The 24,196-nt window shown below is 39.5% G+C and overlaps 2 long non-coding RNA genes across 2 annotated transcripts in view; both read left to right on the plus strand.

Annotated features, from left to right (window-relative positions):
- Positions 1 to 24,196, plus strand: part of LINC02778 (long intergenic non-protein coding RNA 2778) — a 144,047-nt gene that overhangs the window by 32,156 nt on the left and 87,695 nt on the right. The gene's annotated exons all lie outside the window — the stretch shown is intronic.
- Positions 1,544 to 11,825, plus strand: LOC107984963 (uncharacterized). Its single transcript, XR_001738092.1, has 3 exons — positions 1,544 to 1,673; positions 2,257 to 2,364; positions 11,335 to 11,825. It is a non-coding gene; the product is annotated as an uncharacterized LOC107984963 (long non-coding RNA).

Here is a 24,196-nt window from a genome sequence, read left to right on the forward strand (position 1 = left end):
GTATGCCAAATGACAAAACTCCTGTATGTAGTATTTACTATATCATACTGTGATTCACTGTAAGGGGGCAGGGACTGCAAATCACATATTAACATGTAGTAGATGCTCAGTAAATAGAGTTTGTTGAATAAATGGATGACAATAAAGCCTGTACTTCCTGCACTAAACCAATTAAACCAACTTTCCTCCAACAGCACCTGCTTGACTATGGATACATTAGCATAGCAGAGTTGAACAAAATCGAAATCCCTCACTTCCAATTAGGAGATAAGAGCAGGCTTGGATCCTGGCTTATTTTGCTTAAGGCTTAATCATTTGGCTCCCAGGTAAATTCAAATTCTTTAGAAATGAGTCAAAAATGCTCTTTTCAAATTTAGCATCTCTAGTCCAAGGTTGTAATTCCTTGATATTCCTCTAATGGTGTGAAACGTTGGACATTTTCTTTCAAATGTGTGACTTTGTAAAGTTCTTTTATTCTCTCGGTGACTTTAAAATAAAAAGGATGGTTATGTCTTAGGTATTGACAGGAAAGTGCTCTACTGTTTTGGAGGGAGCTTGAGTAGCAAAAATACTGAATAGTTTGGGGTAATGGTTAAAACACAAGTGGGTTTAAATCTTAGCTCTGCCACCCGTTGATTCACTGTACAACCTCTTGTAAGATAAGTCAGTGCTCCATGCCTTTGTTTCCTTCTTGAAAAATGCAGGCAACATTGTACATATCTCATTGAGTTTTGAGAGTGATAAATAAGAAAATGATTATAAAAATCACAGCACACTACATCTGGTACATAATAACCATTCAGTAAAATCAGATATCATTATGTCAGTAACAATTTGTGTAACCTGTGGAAAGTAAATTCAGGGCTTTCTTTTCATCTCCTTTTCTCCCTTCTGTAACTAAAGATTTGTACTAGGCTATCTGAATTCTCCTTCCCAGATCCTAGATTTTTATACCCATTGATTCTAAGGATTAAAGTCTTTAGGAGCCTTGTTGGATGTCTAATTCCTGTGCAGATTCTGTAGAACTAAAAATGGGTCCACTGACTGTAATCTAATGAGGCTTGGAGGCTGGGGGAAACCATCAGGAGAAAGAGTAGCAGTGAGCGGGCAAAGAACAACGAAGTATGGGAGAAAGAGCACTGGGTCAGGTGTTAGAGAATTAGAATCTAACTCAGGTATGGGATGGCTGTACATATAATTTCTCCATGGCAGCACTCAACTTTCTCACCAATAATATTAGAATGAAATCGCTAGTGAATTCAAAGCCTCTTCCAGTTCTACCTGATATGATTTTGGTCTATTTACTGGGCATACTATCCTGAATTTATTCTCTTCAGTGTTTGTTCCCCAGCCTGCCAAAAGGCCGCTCTCCTCCTTCAATCTTTCTGACTTCTTTCTATGAGTTCTGAACTTCGCTTCCCCTTTAGATGCTAGCTTATTAACCACTCTTATACACTGCCTAGAAATCCCAGAATAATACAAGATATTTGTCTGAAGGTCTTAGGGGTTCTTTCTGCATCTACTGCTTTCAGAATGACCATAATGAGGCTCCTGGGACCAACCATAGGTTAAAGAAAAACCATCTGGTGCTGAGAATCCAAAGGCAGCGGGAAATCCTCAACAGGAACTGGAGAGGTTGGAGAAATAATAGAGCAGAAGCCACCTGGAAGCAGGTGAATAACACTGAATAAATGATTACAACTTAGACTAATCCAGTCTTGCTCTAGAAAGAATAACAGATAAATGAAGGCAAATTTAGACTCAGTATTAGAATCAACTGTATAAAAAATGCAGTTTGCCAAATAGTGACACTAAAATGGCTTCAAGGTAGATAGCTGGAGAGTAAAAAATTTTAACCTGAAGAATGGAGAAAATCCTTGCTTCTGATAGGAGGAAGGATTTAATAATCTCCAAATTCTTCTGAATTCGAGCTCTGAAACTGTGATTCTGTCCATAAATGTAGCAATGCTCAGAAAGGATGAATATCCATAGAGCAACTTTCATATGCAGGAGCCAGGCACTATACTAGAATCTTTTTACATTCTCTCAATAATCCCAAAAACAGGATCATAACACCTCTGTTTTGCAGAAAGAAAAATTGTGGCTCAGGCAAGGAAACTAAATGACTTCTCCAAGCTTGTAAGAGATGCAATAGTATTTTATTTTAGAGCTGGTGAAGAATTCTTAGGAAGCCAGAAATCAGCTGGTTCTTGCTGTTTTGACTGCACGGATTTGAGCTCCTGAATTTCTCCACAGGGGCCCAAACAACAGGGCAGGTTGTTAGCTGCATTGCACATAGAAGGGTAGAAGAGGAAGAATGATTTTACTTCTTGACAAAGAAGAAGAAGGAAAGACGTCTGCAGGGTAAGCATGTCTGGGAGTCCCTGCCACCTGCTGCCATTCATTTAATCATCCCTGGGAGCCGGACTGCAGGCCCTGTGCCAGGCTGTCAGCAGCAGAAACTGGCAAGGAGAGAGCTCACTCAGCAGCTATTAGATACCAGGGCCTGCCCACCAGTTACAGTGTGAACTGGGGACTGGAGGAACAGGAAGCAATGGCTGATCTCAGCAGTCAGCAGGAGGAAAAGTAAGGCAGAACTGAAATGTATGATGTGTTTACTTTGTTATCAGCACTGTGTCATGCTAAGTACCTTTGAAATGTCTCTTCTTCTCATTCCTCGAAATAGTCCTACTAAGTAGGTATTACTTTCTTCATTATTGCCAAAGAAGAAACTAAGACCAAAAGAGTTTAAGTAAATTGTTCAGTAGATCTTGGACATTAAACCAATTTTGTCTGACTCAAAATTCCACATTAACTATGATTTTCCAGACTCAATTCACTGGTGTTCCCTTTCATATTTCACCATGTCTGCACAGCGCTTCTACTTTTATTTAACCATTTTTCTGCAAGTCAACACCCCTCCTTCTTAAATTTTACTTTTGTAAATGCATTTTAAAAGGAAGATGTATAATGCTACCATAAATGGAAAAGCAATTTCACTTGCCATAAGTAGATGGTAATAACAAAAATAAATAAATGAAAACAAAATAGTGTGATTAAATTCTTGCTATAGAGTCTAGTGCCTGGAAGGCTTTGTGCCTGAGGTGTACTTTCTTTTTTAAAACTGAAGATTAGCAAGTGTTATAGAGATGCTAAAGATACAGAGGACCAAAATGATTTTTTTCTGTCTGGAAGAAAACAAATCAAAAGAATTGAAGGATAATTGGAATTCATATTATGCGTTTCAAAGCTGTTTCATGCCCTTTCTCCATCCTCCCCCAAACCATCTCCAGGAGATCCAGTCTCCATGCCCACACATGGAGGGCTCTTTTCATGATAGTAGTGAAAATGGGAACTTCTGTTCTGACATCAAGCAAGTACTCACTTTGCATGCCATCTCCTCAAGTGAGACAACACAGTTCACTAGGTAGAAAGTGAAGGGAAAATAAATGGGTCTGGACTGTTACGGTAACCTCCTAAACGGCCTTTCTGACACAAATTTTCATCCAATATATCATCATTTAAAGTCATGATAATTTTCTGCTAAGACATATGAAGTGGTTTCTTTTTTTTTTTTTTGAGACAGAGTCTCATTCTGTCGCCCAGGCTCGAGTGCTCAGTGCTCACTGCAAGCTCCGCCTCCCGGGTTCAAGCCATTCTCCTGCCTCAGCCTCCCGAGTAACTGGGACTACAGGCACCCGCCACCACGCCCTCCTAATTTTTTGTATTTTTAGTAGAGACAGGGTTTCACTGTGTTAGCCAGGATAGGCTCGATCTCCTGACCTCGTGATCCGTCCGCCTCGGCCTCCCAAAGAGCTGGGGATTACAGGCATGAGCCACTGCGCCCGGCCTGAAGTGGTTTCTTTTTATAGATATGATTAATTCTCAATACTTTAGGCTAGAATTTAAGCCCTTGCAAAATTTTATTATGCCCCACCACCAACATTATACTTAAGCCAAAGTGAACCAAAATGAACCATTCGCCATTGCTATTAAACATTCTCAAAATGTCCTGCCTGTATGCTAATGATAATCTGTTCTCTCTGTTTGGATAATCTCTCTCTATCCCTCCAGCATATTTAAATGTGTAATAAGGGTGCGCAGAAAGATACAAGCCTGTGAAGACAAGGATAAGGGAAGTACAATATGCGAAGGTCTAGAAGATATCTATTAGACTTGGCATAGGAAAGGTCTGAGTGACCTTTGCCAGGATTGTTTCAGTCAAGTGTTGGGAATGTTGGTGGATTGAGGAGTAAATGGGAGTTGAGTAACTGGAGGCAACAGAAACACATTATTGATCAAGATAGAAGATGAAAAATGAAGTGTAAGAGAGAGGGAAACAGGAGAGCTCAGAGCATGGTTTTAGGTAACAGGGGGCAAAAAGATAGACAGGAAGAAATTTAAGATCTAAACTTAAAGAACATGGGAAATAACATAATCGAGAAGAAATGTGAAGAAGTTGGCCTTGTACATGAGGAAGGACACTTAGAGAAGCCTGCGGTAAAGTGATGACTTTCTAAAAATGGAATGGAATTAGCAGAATGAATTTGTAGCACACATTTACCACTAAGTAGCTGGAGAGTCGGGATGTCCCTGGATTTTTGCCATCCAATATATAATATTAGGACAGTCAGACCTCTAATACTGATGAGGAGTCACACAATATTTCAGGTTGAATAAAATCCTATCTTCTACCTTATGCTTGCATCCATGTCACAGAAAAGATGTTTACTCTCTTAACTTTAGTGGTTGGGGATTAATTTCTACATGAAACAGAAAATTCAATTTTCAGAAAGCCTTAAGTATCAGAAACTTCTCTTCTAAATAGAAGTGTCTACCTCCCTGCCATATGGTGCCTGTTTTGCCCTTAAAAGTTCCTTAAGACTTGAATTTCTCTTCAAATATGTCTATAGTGATGGGTTTTTTTCTTAAACCAAATTATTCGGTCATTCCACCGTTTTTATCATATGACATAATTTCCAAACCTTTCATTTTCTCAGAGATTACTTTTTGGATGTACCAACATCTGTTTAAATTGTGATATCCAAGAATAAAAATATTATTCCAGATATGATTTGATCAGGGAAAAGTAGTGAAGAGTTCATTCTAGGCACTTGGTTTTATTAAGTACAGCCAAGATACTGACTAAGATTTATTGAGTACTTATTATATGCAGGCAATTTCTTAAGAGTTTTAAATGCGTCATTTTATTTAATCTTTATAGTAGCCCTATAAAGTAGGAACTATTCTTATTACATTTCACTGACTGACAATTGGAAGCCAAGATGGGTTAAATAATTTTCACAAGGTCACTGAGCTAGTAAGTGGCAGAGCTGGAATTTGATCTAAGGTTTGCTTGACTTCAGAATTCAAGCTTTGAAGTGATACATGATAACTTCATGTGTGTTGATAGGTGTCACTCATTTCCCTTCCATCCTATAGGTTTCTTGAACCAAGTGCTGAGCACGGAGTACAGCACCAGAGGCTCTCATGGAATGGGGGTTGAATCCCTATGGTGCAGATATTACTAGCTCCCATTTTGCAGCTGAGAAAACCGAGGCTCAGTTTAACAACAAATATTTACTAAGAGCCCTACTAAGTCCCAGGCATAGCACTGTTGCCAACAGTGAAACAATAGTAAGCACAGAGTTTTATGAAAATAAAGAGTCCTATATCTGGACTCACAGGTCAATACTATTTCACAACATTACAGCTTTTCATCCAACAAAATTTTTCAGAATCAATGTGGAAGAATGAAATTTGCCATCTCTAGCAAATAAAAAAAAACTGTTCAGGCAAATGAAGATGTCCCCTTTCGATAGTTTCTGGAGAGAAAGATGTGGTTCTGATGAGGAAAACATAATAATGTTCAGTCAAGGAGTAGAAAGAGGCTTTCTTTAACCTCTCTCCACAAATCTAAAGTTTTTTTAAATGCCCGTTCCCCCCACCTGACAAATGTAGCATTCTTTTAAATATGTAGTAAAAGTGTAAATCAGAACAAAGACCATATTTCACACCAAGAGGCTTGTATATCCATCAGGTATTTATGGTGCTGCTGTTAGCCAACTCTTCCATCTGGAATGTCTTTAGTCATCTTTCATCTGGTACACCTATTAGAGGAATGCCAGAGCCATCCATAACAAAGGGGCTCATCTTTTAGAACCCCTTTGGCAGGAAGGAGAAATCCAAAGGTTTCCCATAAAGCCTGTGTTTCACATTGCGTTTAATGCAGTTGTTTGATATGATAATGTCTTTGGGGGAAACTTGGCCCTGCCCCTCAAGGATAATAATGGACAGTTATTTTATTCTGTTGTGCTGTCTAATGAGGAACCATCTATTAAAAGCACAAGGGTTTGTATAATCTACAAATTATAGAGGGAAGAGATTGTAGATCCTTTTCCTCCCTCCAACAAAACTAAAAGACTTGGCCAAAAAAAAAGAGACCTTATTATTATTTCTAAATTGGGTGGTGAGTACCTGTTATCATCTAAAACCAGTTAAAAAACAAAAACAAATCGGGAAAAGTTTAATGGACTCTCCCATTAAACATAATTGAATATTCTTAGAACAAAGCTGTTACACAGATATTTTCCAGTTTGTTCAAGTAAAGGTAAAATATAAAATCTAAACATGAACTTTTAAAAATAATCATTTCCAAAGGATGAATACATCGCTGGGAAAAAAACAACAGCTTTAACTGTCACTTTGAACACTGCAATGCTATTTCATTAGTCCCTCAGCAGAATGTCTCATTATGAAAATAATATGTGGGGAGTTCTTAGTTCAAAAAAGCCAGGAGACAAATTCATTGCTAAAATGTTCCAGAATGTCTCAGAAGGAAATAAAACTACCAGAACTTTCATCCTATTCCAACCACAGACACAATGTCCATGAGGAACTGTCATTCTTTTTGACATGACTGCTCAGTATAGGGTTGGGAAATGCCTCCAAGCAGAGGAACCCATTCTGGAAGCCACTCTAACTGCTCTCATCCTCAGCATAGATGTAGAAACACAGGCCTGCAAGTGTCTCCTATCAATTAGACATTCAGAACGGAGAAGGGCTGTCTAAATGCATGGGGGTGAGGAAGCTGCAGGGCTTTATGCCTTATTAATTGGACATTGCTATTTAAACTCTTGAAGACTCCAAATGGTTTTGGCATGTGGTCAGAACCATAAAATAAATGGACTCAATAAGTGAAAAGGAATACTCTGAGCTAGGCCATTTCCTGTTCCTCCCTAGAATCCTAAACTGTGTCTGGTACCAGAATTTCAAGCTCAAATCTCAGCTGAATACTCAGCAAGCCGTTAAGTGCTGCTGCAACTGTAATTGAGACTTTTCTTCTTCTCCTTTTAGTTCTGGCCTCTTCAAGAGGTGGTGGCGTGAATAAATAACCACCTTTATTTTAAATTGGCCAATGAGTCTACTTCCGTCGAAAGAAATTGCCCAGCAAAATAAAGCCTCACTTGATTTGTACGTGTGTGGGTGGTGGGGGTTGGTGGAGGGAGTATTTCATTAAGTCATAGTGCCTCTTCTTCCATTTGAATGAGTTCTTCCATGCAAATTATCCTGAAAAGAAGTCTACTTCTGGCACTAAGCATGGAAGAGGGTCTATTTCCAGAAAAGAAGGTGGCAGGACAGACCAGAGTAGGTTCCCATCTGTCTTTGCTTCTTTAAGAATCAAGACGGTCTTCTGAAAACAGACTGCTTCATCCCATGAAAATGAGCAGAGAGTCTGGTGATAAAGCAGACACCCTGCCATCGGCATCATCCTGATGAACACTGCATTGCTATTTCATTAATCTCTCACTTCCATGCTTCTCTACCTGTTTTCAGCGCTGTTCATGTCTCCTCACAGTGTGTCAACACAGTGGAAGGAAATAGAGTGTTGGAGCCATCAACACTCTCACTTTCCCTCCTCATCCTTGTCGAGCAGATTATGCTTTTGTAACTGGTCACAGGTAGCAGGCCAAGAGAGACCTTCTTGAGGGACTGCTGTTTAGGGTGTTAAGAGATAAGCCAACGCGGTCTGTTGGGAAAAGCTGGGGATAGGCGCACTCCTCTACCAAGTCCAGTACAGGAGTTCCTTCAAAGAGGCTCTGCTAAGGGAGCGTAAAAGAGGGGGAAAGGAGCCATCCTTTTTGGCCACGGACTCTGTACCAGATGTTCCCTTTTAAGAGTTTCACATACATTATCACACTTAAACCTCACAGCAGCAGTTTGAGGGAGATCTGACTGCTCCCATTTTATACATAAGGACACTGAGGCTTAGAATCTTAAATGATGTGCTTAAGGTACATGCTATGGACTCGAAAGTTGAAAACTACGCCTGTATATGCCCAAAGTCCTTGGCAGTTTCTGCCAAAGGCTCTTTGTGCCACTTCATGTGAATAATAAAACACTCTGACACACCCCTCCACCCCCACCCTATGCCTCCTATCTGCCTTGGTGTTTATGTCCATTGGCTCTCATCTAAGCATTTTGCATTGGGTGCTTTTTGGTGTCTCAGTTCTTACCCTGCAACTCTACTCATTGCCTTGGCTTTGGTAACCAATATTCATTTTCTTCCAAATAAAACCTAATCTTGGCTCCAAAACTCTATTTCCTTACACTGTTGGCACACTTTGAGGAGGCACGAGCAGCCCTGAAAAAAGGTAGGGAAGCATGCTGCAGAATTTCAAGCCTCTCTCTCTATTAGTTTATTAATTTAAGATAGAATTCAGTGTTAAGAGCATGGGCTTTCGGTTCACTCAGAAGTGGGTTCCAAGCCAGACATTTTCATTAGATGGGTCACTCTGAACAAGTTACTCATGCGCATCAGCCTCAGTATTCTCTTCTACAAAATGGGGATAGAGATGTGCTCCAACCAGATTTATTGTTAGGGTTACGTGACATAATGTATGAAAGCACTAAGCATAGAATAGAGTGCTTAGTGAGCACTTAATAAATGGAAGCTATTATTTACGGTAAATGTTTGAAATTAAATGGTCACCATATTTATTGTAGAGTTGATAAATGAAGCTCATATCCCAGGGAAGAAATGAAACAGTATTATCATAGCATACTTATTTACCTTCCCCCAGAATGCTGAGGTCCTTTCCTACCTCTTCGTGGAAATATTCCTTGCTCTGCAATTTTTCATGTCTTGCAAGCTTCAATCAATACAATTGATTTAATGATTAATTTATTGTGTTCCTCAGTAAAAGCCCAGCATCGACTTCTTAAAATGGAATCTTATCGCATTTTAGACAAACAAAACTAATTGGCGACAATCATTTAAAGGGGAAGCACAAAACATTCTATACACACACACACAAAGTCAAAGCAAATAATGAGAAAAAAAGCTTGTATTATTTTAAGAATGCAAAAGTAGAGGATGAGTTGAAGTGTTCAGGCTTTCTGATTTGCTGAGCTCAAAAGATCATTTGGGCCAATTATGCTTATCTGTGAACTGACATTATTCATGACCTTTACATCCTGCCCTCTCTAAAACGACTTCAGGATTTTTTTTTCTGCTAGTAGTATGAGGAACAGTTGTGCTCTTCATTGCCTCATGGTTTGTTTTTATCTCAGACTAACCATGAGGCCTCCATCCTTCCCACTGGCATGTAGAAGATGTAGAGACAATCCTTGTATTGCATTTCTAGTTATGCATGTTTTAGATTGTTTCATTTCAAATGTGTGGGGTTTTTTTATTTCTACCATTTTGTTTCTCCTTGCTTCATCTTGCCCACCAAATTATAAAATGGATTACCTAGTGGAACTTCAAAGCATCTTTTTAGTTGCCTGTGTATATTTGGAACAAGGTAAGGGATAAATAAATACAGAAGTTAGGGGAAAAAAAAGTCTAGTTTCTTGTTCTCCTGTGCCACAGCCTAGTTTTGTAGTTGGCTACTTGCATAGTATTTGCCTTCTGTAGAGAGCTAATAGACTCTACCAGCAGCTCCCCACCCTGGTGGTTGGTTCTTTCTTTGCTGTCCTATCCTCTCAGGTGCCTTCCTTAGAAAGTCTGAGAAGGCTGGTGAGCCTCCAACCTGTGGGAGGTGGTTAAGGGAGGGCCTCGGGAGGCTGACTTGGCCACATGGTGTCAGTCTTGCAGCACTGATGTGAGAATTCTGGGACTTGTCTTTGGCAGCAAGAAATGTTCCATGCTTCCCCCATACAACTCTCACGTGAACCAGGATGAAATAGCATTTGTTAGAGGTTTTGTCTGCTCCAGGGGGAAGGGATAGGAGCTCTCTTTGAGATATATATATATATATATATATATATATATATATATATATATACTTTCCTAGCTGAGCTGTGTGTATGGTAACTTTTACACAATGGAAGGAACAGTAATTTTAAAAAATAATTTTCTTCACCAGGAGCCTTCTTGGCAAGATTGTCCACCCAGCACCACACTGAGTGAGCCTGCTGAGGCAGCCAAGTATCCTGGTGAAATCCTGGGCTTTGGAGCCTGACAGACCTGTGTTTGCATTCTCATTCTCCTAGCCCTGCACCCTGGCTAGCTGTGTGACCTCAAGCAATTTTTAAACTTTCTGTGCCTCAGTTTCTTCGTCTCCAAAATACCATTTATAATACCCATTTCAGAGGAATGCTGTGAGAATTAGGTTGGGTTGGCTTATAGAGCACAAGCTTACCATAGGTGCTCAGTGAATGAGAGTTATCAATAAAATGTGAGCTGCTCTCTATTTTACGTTTAAAATATATCTTCTACATTTTTTCCACAGAAACCAGTCAGAGAGGGAGAGAGAGAGAAAGCACTACAGTGGGGAGTGTGTGTGTATGTGTTTGTGTGTGTGTTGCTCAAGTGATGTGTACAGGAAGTAAAATCCTCCTAATATATTACATGTGACAGCTGCTGAACCTGTATCCTAACATCTCTTTCCCTGCCCAATAGTTCCATGACTCTCTCCTAGTGACAATGAACATTTCTACGATGCTTACTAATGACAGACAGCACAACACAGAGCATGAAACAGCCTCTCCCCAGGAACAGAGCTCAGCAACCCTATGCTCTAGCATCATCTGCACCAATTCTTTGATGTTCTCAGTGCTGGAGACAGCCTACTCAAAGGAATGCAGGGTTTGGAGTCAAGGAGTCAAGTGTAGGTAGGAATTTCAGCTCCCAGACTTAACTAGCTGTGTAAGCTTGAGTAACCATTTACTCCATCAAAGTTTCACTTTTATAATTTGTAAAAATAAGAATAATGCCACCTAATTATTAATGTTGTTTTTTATTGGGGGTTAAATAAGACAGCACAAGTGAAAGCTCTGAAGACGAAGGAAATGCCAAGTCCCTGGTAAATATTTCCTGTTCACTTTTAGATGAAGGCTCTCAGGACTGCCCAATCTGATGGAAGAAATTGCCTTCCTAGACTTGCCAGCATCTCTGGGAACTGTCTTGAACTCCATATCAGAGATATGTAGAGGAGGAAACACACAAGTTCTCTTTCAAACACATTAAGTTGGAGGTGTCTGTTGAATCGGTAGGTGGAGATGTCTTCTGGGTTGGATATACAGGTCTATAGCTTTGGAAGAACTCTGGGTGGAGATTAGGAAGTCGTCTGAATTGAATGAATTTCACTCAAGCAAATAACTTTCTTCCAGGTATTCCCAGTCCCACTTCCCTTCGTCAACTCAATTTAACACATGCCGACTGTTAGGCCCTATTTTCTTTCAGAGAATCTTAGGCTAGCTGGAAATACTGTTCTTCCACTTGGCTCATCCACTCTTGCTTGGACTCCTTCCATTCCTGCCCAGGTATTACAGAATATAGAATCCACGTGGAACTATGAAATTCTGTTTTCTAAGCCATGGCTTCCTACCTTATAAAATTCAGTGTTTCAGATTGATAGTCTCTAGGTTGACCTATGATATGACACTGTTGTAGAATCCTAGAGGGTTGCTGATTACCAGTAACAAACATCCTCTTTTAAGTATTGGAAACTGAGGCCCAGAAGAGCATCTAAGTGATTTTCTCCATCACTGCGAAACTCAGAGCCATCACATCAGTCTGCCTCCTTACTTATAATGTGGTAGGTTATGATCTAGATGGTAGTTCAATTACTTAAGGGGTCAAGGATTAAAGTGTGGCCCTTCTCATGAACCAGCTGTTTAAAGGATTGAAAGGGAACTCTCCAAAGACCTCAACACATAGAACCCTTCATTAATATGAATTATTGTTGACATAGACTTAGACTTGTCATGGGTTAGAAAAAACTCTGGCCATCAAATAAAATGATGAACTGATATGAACTGATAAAACAGTATTCCTCTAAAGGTAAGAGTCAGATGGACCGAAGCTAAGAGTCAGATGGACCGAAGCATCCTATATGCTGGTCCAGTCTTGGCCAATATTTCCCAGTGTGATTATGGAACATGAGTCCCTTGGGGTGCTCAGTTAGAGAAAAAAAGAAAAAAAGCTTTGGAAGAGCTAAATATTCTCTCTCATGTCCTTAAAGGTTCACGGTGAAACAGTATATTAAAAGCTTTAGTTCTAAAGAAATCTGCTCAGAGTTTGTACTCAGTTCAACTCCAGTCTCCCGAATCATAACTAACCATAGAACCTAAAATAAAGCATACATTAGCATCCCATAGAGCAAGTGTTTTTGTGAAATATCTTACCCACTTTGAAATTTCTGATATAAGCACAATTTTGGGTACTTGGTTGGTTTTTAATCTTTCATTTTTGCAAAAATCCAATGACGTGGACATTGTTTATAATGTTAAATGTTACATTGTTTAAAATGTTAAATGTTATAATCATTTTGTGATGAGGAAATGGGACTCAGAAAGGTGTGGGAACTTTGTGAGGCTCACATCATCAATATGCTCTGCTTTTTGCCCTGCTTTTCATTTTATGTTGTTTATAATTTTTCATATATCTATGATGTATCCTTCTTCTGTGTCTTTTTTCATAATAATCTCTATGCCTGGAATTTGAGACTCACCATTCCTGGCTGATCTGTCTTCTTTACCTTTTAAGATGTAGGTCAGCAACCATCTTGGCTGCATTAAGTGTTCCTTCTCCATGACCCCAGAGAAAGCTCTTTATCACTATCTTAATATTGCTCAATTTATTTTGAAAGTTACCATTTATGTGCCATCTTTTCCCAATAACTTATAGGGTCCTTAAGAGCAGATACTGTGTCTTCATTCTTCTTTGTGTACCTCCTCACATGCACAGTACTTATCTTATAATAAATACATGTATATTAAAATTCCCGTAGTAGTGGCTCAGAGTCTCTCTTTTATACTGAATTGAACTGAACTGAACTGCAGCCAGTTCTCCATAACTTCAAAACCCCAAACACTTATCATTATACCACACTGCATTCCATTCCAGCCATAAAAGTTCTATTACATTTTGGCCCAAATAACCAATGGACCTATTTTTGGTCCCATGGTAGCTGGGAATTCTGTGGAGAATTGCAGCAAACAAATTTGGGAGGAGAATGGACACCTAAACTCAAACTTATATTACAGCAAAGACGGCATTAGCAATCTATACATAAATCCCTTAGTACAGGGCCAGGAACAAAGGAATCTCTCAGTAAACATTAGCTATTATACAAGCTGTTAGAATTTCAGAGAATGAGTTCACTCATTGTCAGTAATACTTTTGTTTTCATAATGCCTTGAGTTAAAGATGAGATTCCAGCATTTTTGTAATTGAGTACTTTTGCTGGGTAGATCCAACCTGAAAATTAAGATTCCAGTATAGAGCAGGTGTAGGTAAGTCAGAAGCCACTGGCAAGGCATTCTGGCAGAACAGGTTTGTTTCTCTCAGAGTGAGCTATCTACCCACAATGGACACTATTATCTACAATGGGGGTGTCATCAGGACTCAGACAGAAGAGCTCTGCCTGGAAGCCAAATCTCCCTCCCTTGGCCAGGTGCGATGGCTTACACTTGTAATTCCAGCTCTTTGGGAGGCCGAGGCTGGCGGATCACGAAGTCAGGAGATCGAGACCATCATGGTTAACATGATGAAACCCTGTCTCTACTAAAAATACAAAAAATTTGCCAGGTGTGGTGGCATGCAACTGTAGTCCCAGCTACTTGGGAGGCTGAGGCAGGAGAATCACTTGAACCCAGGAGGTGGAGGTTGCAGTGAGCCGAGATTGCACCACTGCACTCCAGCCTCGGTAACAGAGCGAGACTCCGTCTCAAAAAAAAAAAAAAAATCTCCCTTCCTTCCCCACTGCCACTCACATTTAGCACCACCTACCCATTTAACAAGGCTCTGAAGCTTAAGTGTGCCTGTATTTTTTGAAATTTTGTCATTTTAATTCTTTAAGAAGAGATTTATAGGGTTTTACTGTTTGTGTTACTACCTGTTACTTTCTCTTTCTCTCCTAGTGAAGTTTTCGAGGCATCTCTTCTTTCCCCGTCTCCTCGCTCCCCATATCTGACACTAAACCCTGAAGGTTATTATTTATAAATAGCCCCCATTTTCAGTCTCTGGTCTATTCACAACCTCATATGCTCTGAAACATTTGAATAGGCTCTTGACTTGTCTTCCTATCCCTGGTCTCTATCGGGGAACCTGCCCCCGATAGTCATGTAGGTTCTTTTCTATTTTCCCTAAGCATCAGCTGGGTTGATAAATAAAGGGACAGAGTACAAAAGAGAGAAATTTTAAAGCTGGGTGTCCGGGGGAGACATCACATGTCAGTAGGTTCCATGATGCCCCCTGAGCCATAAAACCAGCAAGTTTTTATTAGGGATTTCAAAAGGGGAGGGAGTGTACAAATAGGGTGTGGGTCACAGAGATCACATACTTCACAAGGTAATAGAATATCACAAGGCAAATGGAGGCAGGGTGAGATCACAGGACCACAGGACCGGGGCGAAATTAAAATTGCTAATGAAGTTTTGGGCACCATTGTCATTGATAACATCTTATCAGGAGACAGGGTTTGAGAGCAACTGGTCTGACCAAAATTTATTAGGCAGCAATTTCCTCATCCTAAGAAGCCTGGGAGTGCTATGGGAGACTTATTTCATCCCTACAGTCTCAACCATAGAATATGGCCACACCGTAGCGGGGCATTTTAGAGGCCCACCCTCAGGGGTGCATTCTCTTTCTCAGGGATGTTCCTTGCTGACAAAAAGAATTCAGCGATATTTCTCCCATTTGCTTTTGAAAGAAGAGAAATATGGCTCTGTTCTGCCTGGCTCACCGGCGGTCAGAGTTTAAGGTTATCTCTCTTGTTCCCTGAACATTGCTGTTATCCTGTTCTTTTTTCAAGGTGCCCAGATTTCATATTGTTCAAATACACATGCTCTACAATTTGTGCAGTTAACACAATCATCACAGGGTCCTGAGGTGATATACATCCTCCTCAGCTTACAAAATGACAGGATTAAGAGATTAAAGTAAAGACAGGCATAGGAAATCACAAGGGTATTGATTGGGGAAGTGATAAGTGTCCATGAAATCTTCACAATTTATGTTTAGAGATTGCAGTAAAGACAGGCATAAGAAATTATAAAAGTATTAATTTGGGGAACTAATAAATGTCCATGAAATTTTCACAATCCACGTTCTTCTGCCATGGCTTCAGCCGATCCCTCCATTTGGGGTCCCTGACTTCCCACAACAGGTATCATTAAAATAAATTGTCCCAGTTCCATGTCTCAAGATCTCCCATAAATCCCAGGAAAAATTAGAACTACTCAACCGACAAGGAAAATTCTTTATAATCTATTCCAGCCACTTCTATGGCCATATCTCATCATTTGCCTCTCCCTGTCCAGGTACACAGGTGCACACTGAACCTTTTACCATTCTCCATTCTGTGTCTCTGTATATTCTCACTGTCAGTAATTCTCTACTTTCCCATGTGTTTGGCAATTCCTATTCATCCTTCAAAACTTGACTCAGACATTTCCCGCTCTGGAAGCTGCTCTTTCTCCTCAAAAGCCATGCATGTAGCTATGCCTCTGGGCTTCCACTGCACTTTTCCAGGCTTCTGTTGTGTTGGTGCACATCGTTGCTCTTCTTTCTTTAACTAGAAGGAGAGCTGTGGCAATGTCTGATGATCCTTTATGAAAGGAATGAAAAGGTCAAAATGCTATTTGCCATGGGGCACTCTATCCTTCCCTGTGGCTAGTCTATAAATCTTAGCCTCGGTATACCTTTTGCTAGGTAATCATTAAGACTGAGAGGGCCACATTGGACCAGATGGGTAGGATGAGACAATGAATAAAGGGTTACTAGTTACTTGTGACTAATTTCAAGCTCAATATTACCATTCTCCTCTGTTTCCTTTTTTTTTTTTTTTGAGACAGAGTCTTGCTCTGTGGCCCAGGCTAGAATGCAGTGGCACAATCTTGGCTCACTGCAAGCTCTGCCTCCCGGGTTCACACCATTCTCCTGCCTCAGCCTCCTGAGTAGCTGGGACTACAGGCACCTGCCATCACTCCTGGCTATTTCTTTTTTGTAGTATTAGTAGAGACAGGGTTTCACCATGCTAGCCAGGATGTTCTCAATCTCCTGCCTCGGCCTCCCAAAGTGCTGGGATTATAGGCGTGAGCCACTGAGCCTGGCCTTCTTTTTTTTTTAATTTAATTAATTAATTTATTGTTTTTTGAGACAGGATCTTGCTCTGTCGCCCAGGTTGGAGTGCAGTGGTGAGATCTTGGCTCACTACAACCTCCACTTCCCAGGCTCAAGCAATCCTCGTGCCTCAGTCTCCCAAGTAGCTGCAATTACAGGTGTGTGCCACCACACCCAGCTAATTTGTGTATTTTTAGTAGAGATGGGGTTTTGCCATGTTGGCCAGGCTGGTCATGAACTCCTGGTCTCAAGTAATCCACCCACCTTGGCCTCCCAAAGTGCTGGGATTATAGGTGGGAGCCCCTGCGCCCAGCCTGAAGTACACTTCTGATCCACTTATTTCACATGGGGTCTATTCCAGCTCCCCAGAGTAGACAGGGATTCAGACAAAAACCCTGGCAAGGAATAACCAGGGCACATGCGGTTGGTGTCTTTTATATTTTCTCAGGGAACTTCAGTAACTAGCAGGGATTTGTGGGATGCTGGCTCTATCACAATCACACATCATAACACCCAGCATATTGAATGGTATTTGTTTCTGTGTCTTTCTTTCCTGTTAGACTGTGAGCTCTTGTTCTAGTCCTGTGCTGAGCCTTGTAGCAAAACAGAGCAGAGTGAACTTGGCGGCTAACTGTGTGGACTTTGGAGAGAGTCAGCTTATATTCAAATCTCATTTGTGCCACGCAAGAAGGTATGACCTCAGGCAAGTTATATTAGATTTCTGTGCCTTGGTTCTTCATGTATACATACAGTGAGAATGACAATAGCACCTTTCCTACATTGTCGTTAAGATGATCCAATGAGTATAGAAAATTTGTGCTTGTTACATAGCCGACATTGAGTAAATTCTACTTTTAACCATTTTTATTCATCCAGGGCTTAATATTTTATCACGATACAGTAGGCACTTAATAAGTATAAACAAATAATTAAGCATTAGATGGCAAGTTTTTCATGGCACTGTGTAAATTAGCTTGAAACAGAGTGGTGTTGTATAAAGAGCATGGGTTGAGAGCCTGAATGATGAGTTTGAATTATAGCTCTGCCACCTCCTACTAACATTAACATGGACAAGTCATTTAATCTGTCTCAGCCTCAATAATATGGTATTTCATCCCGGAAGTAGGTGTTAATAGTATCATCTATTTTCAGGTATTTTGGGCACCATTTAGCAAAATCTGTTAATTGCAATATACTTTGAAAAATGCCCAGTTGATCTAGTTAATACATCTGAATTTTGAGAATTAAAACAAGCAGTTATTTTAATTTAAACCATATCTAGAAATGTTAACAATCCCAAGTAGAGGTTATTCCAGGATCTGTTTTGGTGAGAGGGTGAAACAATTAAGGCTAATTGGGTCTGAGGGTGGGAGCAAGCAGTGGTTAGGTAAGATTCATTAAGCATTAATTTTATGCCAAGGTTTTTCCTTAGCTGTCATCCTAAGAACCACACTGTTAGCCACAATTAAGTCCATTTATAGATTAGGAAACTTGCAAAAAATCACAGACCTGAAGAATAGCAGTTCCAGATTTCAAAACCAGATTTGTGCTCTTACTGGGATACTACACCGCTTTATGAAGCAGTAGCAGTGATTCTCACATAGGGCCCGACACATAGTTGGGACTCAATGAATATTTGTGATGTGATGGATGGATGAACACTAACAAAATTCTCAGCAAGGTTAAATGTTTTAAAAAGTCACAAGAAGTCCAAAGAGCTCTAAGGAGCTTAGGGAGACAGAAAGTGTTTCATCCTCCATGTCAACTACTCAGTGACTGAAAGGAGAATGATACCAATTTCAACAAGTGCTGACTGAACCCACAGACATCTGTGAGAAAAGGAACACACGTTTCAAATGCCTCCCCTCCAGCTCCGTTTGCCGAGTTGACAAGTTAATTACTCAGCTATCAGGAGATAACTTGGTAGTAGTAACACATGTAACTGTGTAATTATCAGGGGTTCCAGTAGTCGCTGTGTAATTATCAAGTAGTTTTCATGAAACAACATGTGTTTGCTTGTAAATATACAATTAAGCGGTGTTGCCACCATTAACTATGAAACAAAACCAGCATCTGGCACTTAAGGTACCAGCTGTGGGTCCCTGCAATTAAACTTTTCTTCAAATAGGACTAACTTTCCAAAAGGCACAACGTCACAAAAACCTACAGAAACACATGTGATACCATTGATAATTCTATTCTTTTGCCTAAAATAACACTTTCTATTTTTCCTATCATACTTTAAAAATTTTGTCTATTCTTTAAGGTCAAGCTCATATGCCAGCCTTTTCCTTGTATTTTGTAGATTCCTTTAAACAAGATGTAAATTCTGGATCCCTAAACTCTCCAAATCTCTTTGCAACTCTTATGACTTTGAACACATTCTACCTTGCTGGGAATCTGGGGCATATCTACCCATCAGTCGTGCCACAAATATATATTGAGCCCCTATTATGTGTCAGGTCCTATGCTAGGCAATGGGAACACAGTCAGCAACAGAATAGATATGGTCTTTGCAACCACAAACTTTACAATATAGGAGTAAAAATATGTATATACAAATAATTACAGATTTGATAGACCTTTTAAAAGAAGAAGCAAAAGTCTAGCATTATGAGTGTTAATTCTCTTATTAGTCTAAGTTACTGAAGGTGATACTCCAAGTCTTATTTCTTCATTCACCCAGTAATTATTTATTTCACATGTACTTTGTGATATTGCTGTGTTTTGTGCTAAGGATTTCACAATAAACAAGATAGACATCATCCCTGTTTGCAGAAATCCTCAAGGTGTCTACTTCAGAGCCTGACACTCACCAAGTACTCAGTGCCTATTTGTTCTTGCCAATGACATCAGCTAACACCCTGATATACATTTATCAATATATTTATCTTTATGTTGTCCAGGAGACTCTAGTGATGTATATTACCACAATCCCTTTGATGTTCATTCCAGCAGTATTTAGAATGCAGAAGAATGGGAAACAAATTTGGTCCCCAACCACAGACTAGAATCTTGATAATTTCATTCCATTAAAACTTCTCTGAGATATGTTTGATTTATAGTTGAATCACACACATGAATATTAATTACATTGTCTCTCAAATTGTTCTATAATCCCTGCATCTATACCAGGTCTGTCTTCCCAGTCAGTCCCATCTCATCCATATGATGGTACCTCCCTGGAGCAAGTTGACCACTTAATACCTGTCTAGATCTGCCAAACCTCCATTTGGAAATTGATCTCTGGCTGCTGGTTCCTCTTATTGCTACTGAACTATTATCCAGGTGGCAGATAATCTCTTGTCAGAATTAAAGTAGACAGTCATTGGGTGTTGGGCCTCCACCTAAGCATGAATATGTGAAACTTTCTTATCTCTAAGCCCTGAGGATCTAGCATTCCAATGTTCTTAATTTTGCATGGATGAAACCACCATCCATCTAGTCAGACAAGCCAGAAGTCTTGATACCTCTGCACACCCCTCCCCCAGAGAATCCATCAACAATTCTCAGTGATATTATCTCCTTAAATTTATCCATTCTGTCTAATTCTCTTTACCACTACCTGACTCTGCTCTATCACCGTTTCATTTCTAGATTACTTTTTAAGTGGGTTAGCCTACCTCCATCCAAGCATCTATTTGTTCTCTATACTGTGTCTGGAAAAAGCTTTAAAATGCAAATCCAAGTGTGTTGATCCCTTGCTCAGAACTGTTCAGTGGCCTTCCATTGCTTTGGATAAAAGTCATGGTCTTAACGTGCGACCTGTCTTCAACTCCTTCTCCAGCCCACCCCATACCAATCTACCTTGTAGACTTGGTTGGCTCTAACCATTCTACATTTCTTTCAGCACCTCCTATTCTCAAGGCTCTGGTCAGCTATAGGAGTTTTGCATTTATTGGAACACTTACCCCAATCTACTCTAAAGCACAATGCTAGGGCCCTCCTTGATAACCTGGGAAGCTTTTCATCAACTCTTTGCAGTTTATCCTTCTGTGGGCTTTCACTCCTCCCACCACTGTCAGTTCCTTTGTGGAGGCCTGTCCTCTGGTTACTGCAGGGACTTTGCTGACAGGAGGTATCTAAGATTTTTAAGGCAGCCTCCCATGGAGGCCTCTAACCAAAGACTCTAAGTCAAAGAATTTGAAAGACCAGCAACCCTGCGGCAAGTCAGGACAACTCTGAGCAAGGCATACGATCCAGAATTTCCCTGAAGGATCTGGCTGAAGCTACTCTCTGCACCACTTTGCCTGAGATCACACTGTTGTTTGCCTCCTTTCCTTCTCTGTTCTCCTCCAGCCCATACCCATCTCTCCATCATAAATCACTAGCGCAGGAATTGGTGTTTCAGGGCCCACCTTTAGGGAACCCTATCTTAGATACCTACACAGGTTGTCATAATTGTTTAGATCTCAGGTTAAAAATCACTTCTTAGGAATTCCTGACTAGTTAAAATCTTTTCTCCACCCCAAATAATGAGAATTTCTCCTTTGTAGCACATTTCAATAAAAATTGTACATGTGTTCGTGAGAACCTTTGACCATAAACCACGTAAGGCAAAGGCCATGTATTTTTTACTTATCATTGTGCTGCCAGTGCTTTGCATAATAGCATGAGAACCATCAATAAAGATTTATTAAATGAATGAACAAAAGTTAATACACTGTAAGTATGATAAACTTGAGTAAGAAGTCAGATGAAAAATTGCATTATTCAAACCATTTTTATGGAGTGTCTTGTACACAGCAGGCACTGAAGTGGTAAATGTAAATACGTTTTCTTATTGTCTTATATATAGTAGGCATTCTATAAATGTTTGTGGAATAAATGAATACATGATGTATGAATTATTTATAAAGTGGAAAGTTACAATCTAGTTGGAGGAAATTAAAACACAGTTTTGGGAAAATTAAAAAAGCAACAACAACTCAAGATTTGATGACTTATACCTCAGAGGTTGTCTAGTTGATCTCAAAGTTACCTCAACAAAGATAAGAGTTTATTCCTTTTGAACTTCAAACAGCTGGACCAGTGTTATTTGAATATATTTAGCTAAAACTAAGGTAGCTGTAAGGAGCTAAGGTTCATTATAGCCTGTTTTCTTTGCCTTCACCCTTCTGAGATTTTCCTTGGCAACAATCACCTTTTAAAACTGCTTAGAATGAAAACAGTGGAGTTGCATAATTTTGCAGTCAGTTTATTTTTAAACGAGATAGGGAGGTCCTCAGTTTGACAAACCTTAGGTTGTGAGATCACATACCCACGTTTTAGGGTATTCTGATTGCTGAAACTTCATAAACTAAAATCAACATCTTAAGCTAGAAGGTGAAGTTGTTTTCCAGTACAGCCTACTTTTGAATTTAAAGGTTGTTACCCCAAACCCTGCCCCTTCCCCCAGAGTTTCAAGAATCAGCTCTTGTCCTGTATCAATAACAATATTAAAGAGTGAATTCCCCTCTTAAAGGTTCCATTTCCAAGGAATGTTGGTTGGTTTTTAGATGAAAGGATTAACACTTTTACTGTACTGATATCAACCAGACTTAACTGAAGGTGTTGAGGATAAATTTGAAGACAACTCTTGTTAAAACTCTTATTTTGGAATATCATATATTATACTAAGAAAACAGACCATTTGTGCAGCTGAATAATTAGCAATTGCTTTGATTTATGCTTAATTTTGAATTTATTGATATGACATATTAGGTTTGACATTGTATACTTCATTCATAATATCAACAAAAAATTATTGAGCATGTACCAAGTGCAGTGCATCATTGTGTTATCTTAGACATAAAAACAGAAAAACCTCAAAGAATTTCATAAACCACATACGTGGATCATTTCCACTGTGCTTCAGTTTTTAGCCACCTCGTCACTGACTCAGCTGGCCCCAACCAAAAGAAGCATGGCAGCATTTTTTATTTCTCTGGGAGTTGTGTACAGATTTCTGTGAAGTACCATAACATAATGACTGAGAGAATAAACTCTGGAGTTAGAATACCTGGGTTCAAATCACCTCTCCACTATTCATTACCTGAGTTCCAAGGCAAATTGCTTAACCTCCATTTATTTGTGTGTCCTTGGGAAAGTCATACCTTTGTCCTTCTTCTGAAAGCTGATGATAACAATAGTAACCACCTCAAAGTCTTTTTTGTAAGGATTAAGTTAACATATGTAAACTACTTAACTATGTAAAATATCATTAAGTTTAAATATTTTTTTTTTTTTTTGAGATGGAGTTTTGCTCTTGTTACCCAGGCTGGAGTGCAATGGTGTGATCTCGGCTCACCGAAACCTCCACCTCCTGGGTTCAAGCGATTCTCCTGCCTCAGCCTCCCTAGTAGCTGGGATTACAGGCATGCACCACTATGTCTGGCTAATTTTGTATTTTTTTTAGTAGAGACGTGGTTTCTCCATGTTGGTCAGGCTGGTATTGAACTTCCAACCTCAGGTGATCCACCTGTCTTGGCCTCCCAAAGTGCTGGGATTACAGGCGTGAGTCACCACGCCCAGCCTAGTTTAAAGATATTTTATTAGCTCACATTTTCACTGACATTTGTGTAACTATGGAGAAATTTTTTAATGTCTTTGAGTTTTACTTTCCTTATCTGGAAAATGGGCAATTGCAAAGTCTCCCCACAGTGTTTTATGAAGACTGAATGAGATAATCTCAGAGAAAATTGCCTTGCTAACCACAAAGCACATGATTTTGCACATATTAAACATTAAAAATACGTATTATATGAATGATTAAAGCAGTTGAGTGAAGGAACAATTAATTTATGTGTGACCTCCATGTCATATTCACTGATTTATTCCACAAAAGTTATCTTCTAGGTGCTAGGTACTATATTTAATCCTAGGGGATGCTGGGATGAACAAAACAGTCTCTCGTTGAGATTTGCAATCTGATGTAAAAGACAGACATTAGTCAAATAAGCAGTCAATCTATTATATTGTGACTTGTGCTACAAACCCTATAAAAGTGAGAAGTGTCACTATCAGATTCATTAGGTACCTTTCTCTTACTTCACTGATAAAGAAAGTTAGGGCCAGAGAGTTGGAACTGGGCCAAAGACAAAGCATTAAGTTTTTACATTGACCTCCATGTTAGATGAAATTCACTGAAGACAACTCATTGTCTCTTACAGGATAGAGTTAAATTCTCTTTTTCAGGTTAAGTGGAGAGTTTAGTAATAAATAAAAGGATGGGAAAAAATAGCCTCAAGTAGAAATAACCATGGTTCTCAATTGCTGATCACCTTCCACATACCAAGCACTTTATTTCCATCATTTTATTCATTCCTCAAAACAATCCATAAATAAGTGTTATTGCAAACTAAAGCTCTAGAGGGACTTTGAGCAACTTGCTTTGAGATCACATGGCCAGAAAGTAAAGCAAGTGCTGTCTGCTTGATAATAAAATTCCTACTTTTTCTAACACAACAAGATATTCCTAACTGGGCACAATTTGAGTTCAAATCTTAGCCTTAGAACATTCCATCTTGTAGATCTTTAGGTTTCAGGATCAGCTTCTGAATTTCTGGCTGATGACCATGTATATTTAAATATATATCTGATTGCTTTCTCCCTTTGCACATTACTTACTTTCATTCCCTCATG

The sequence above is a fragment of the Homo sapiens genome, chromosome 1, assembly GCF_000001405.40.
Source record: "Homo sapiens chromosome 1, GRCh38.p14 Primary Assembly".
In the NCBI taxonomy this organism is placed as follows: Eukaryota; Metazoa; Chordata; class Mammalia; order Primates; family Hominidae; genus Homo; species Homo sapiens.